This window comes from Homo sapiens, chromosome 2 (assembly GCF_000001405.40).
Source record: "Homo sapiens chromosome 2, GRCh38.p14 Primary Assembly".
Taxonomy (NCBI): Eukaryota; Metazoa; Chordata; class Mammalia; order Primates; family Hominidae; genus Homo; species Homo sapiens.
Window position 1 is genome coordinate 138,648,831 of NC_000002.12, and position 2,164 is coordinate 138,650,994.

Consider the following 2,164-nt stretch of genomic DNA (forward strand, 5'->3'; position numbering starts at 1 on the left):
TGAAGCAGCTGCATTCTCATGCTGATCTGTTCCTCTGTGGGCGTCTTCAAACTGGTTGCTGGAACTCAGGGCCTGAAAAAACATCTTAAACCATCCTTAAAAAAAAAGTCTTCTGGTTCTAACGTCAGAGATCCTGTCTAAAGGAACAGTGAGGATGCAAATCAATTCCTAAACAGTCTTATGACCCTAGTGTCAGAAATCCTACCTATAGGAACACTGGGGATGCAAATGGTCTTTTTTTTTTTTAACTACTCCCACCCCCCGCCCCCCGCACGCCACTACACCTGGCTAATTTTTTGTATTTTTGATAGAGACAGGGTTTCACCACGTTGCTCAGGTTGGTCTCGAACTCCTGAGCTTAAGAGATCTGCCCACCTCGGCCTCTCAAAGTACTAGGATTACAGGTGTGGGCTGCTGTGCCCAGTCACTACCTGACTTTTAGCAACAAGGAGGTGGGCCAGAGTGCAGCCTGATTAGTGCCTCATTATAGCTATATTTCTGTCCAGAGCCTGGCATGCAATTCTCGTTAACCCTGTGGGGACAGTTTCACAATTCTAGTCATAGAGACTCAAACTTAGTCTGTTGACTGAGTGGGGAGCAATGCCTTTCTGCTCTTAGTCTCTTAGCTCCCCACTCAGGGCTTCCTCATCCTCTCCCACTCCTCTCTGAATAGCATCCCCCCCCCCCATTCCCTCTCCTCTCAATAACAAAGCTCATGACAAGCAAACTAATGAATGTAAACAGATCCTGGAGGAAAGAAGGTGGAGTGAAGTCTTATCTTGAACTCAGCCAACCCCAAGTCCCTATCTCCCTGATCTGATGTTCTTTTGCTGCTTTTAGCAACACCTGAAGAATAGGCTGGGTAATATTCCATAGCCTGCAATGCCCCGTGGTACTCTGGAGAAAAGCACTCTACTCCAGGGCTGGGCCAGATACCAAGTGATTCATGCAGAGCCAGGCTGAAAGGAACAACAAAGCTGTGGACTGAGGGGACCCCTTGGATCATACCATGAGGTGTTCAGCTTCCATATCTCTTTAATTTATAGCACAGTTCTGAGTAATTCCTGTGTTTCAGACACAGTGCCAAATAGCAAAATTGTAGGATTGAATAGCAATGATCTTAATATTAGCAATAATAATAGTCTATTTCCTCAATTTACTACATTTACTAACTAGTTTAAGAGACAGACAAATGAACAAATGATTGCAATGTATTGTATTTTGGGGGATGCCAGAGTTATGATGGAAACACACAACAAAGGGAACCTGGCAAAGATGGTGAGGAAATGCTTTCAAGAGAAGGTCATGGGCATTGGAAGGGGGAGTAGAAGTTAGCCAGGCTGAGTATATAACAGAAACAAAGGCATTCAGGGGACAAAAACTCAACACTTGGAGGGGAGGCTTGTGTCAACTAGCAAAATGTCAAGAAACCAGCAGAATCGTGCACTGAGGGTCGGCCTGTACAGTACAAATTGGTACAGTCTTTCTCGAGGACAATTTTTGTGTCAATAGTCTTGGTCTTTGACCCTTTAATTCCACCTTTATAAATTTATGCTGAGGCAATAGTCAGAGTGGTAGAAAAAAACTTATGCACAAAAACTGTTTATCTCAATATTATTTATAATAGCAACACATTAGAAATAACTTCTTTGCCTAAGAAAATTAGGGTGGCATAATCATGGAGTGGAACACTACTCCACAGTGGCTGTGAAGACTTTAAATGTAGTGTTTTAGCTCATGATTACATTTGATGGGAAGTGTTCATATTTTGTTATTGTAGTACACAGTTGGTCGTTTTCCCAGCATTCAAGTCTCTGCTCCTTCTGCCAAAGTGGCATCATCTTCCATTTCAGAAATTCAATCCTTCTCATGGTGAAGCAGTCATGGAATCTGGGAATAACAGACCCCGCTTCTCCCATCCCTCAGCTGCCAACCCGAGGGTGAGCTCTGATGGGTTTAAGCCCACTAGCTCACCCACTTCCTCACTGGGAAGAAGCACCTCTCCTAAGTGGGGCCATGAGAATGAAACTAAGGGCTTCTGTTTCATGATTTAGGGAGGTCTTCTCTTGATTCCCTTCTGGATGAAGTGGCATATAGATATTAAGTTTAAAACTGATGTTAAATTAAGTTTAGCCTAAAGCTGGCTCCTAAAGCTTTTAAGGTT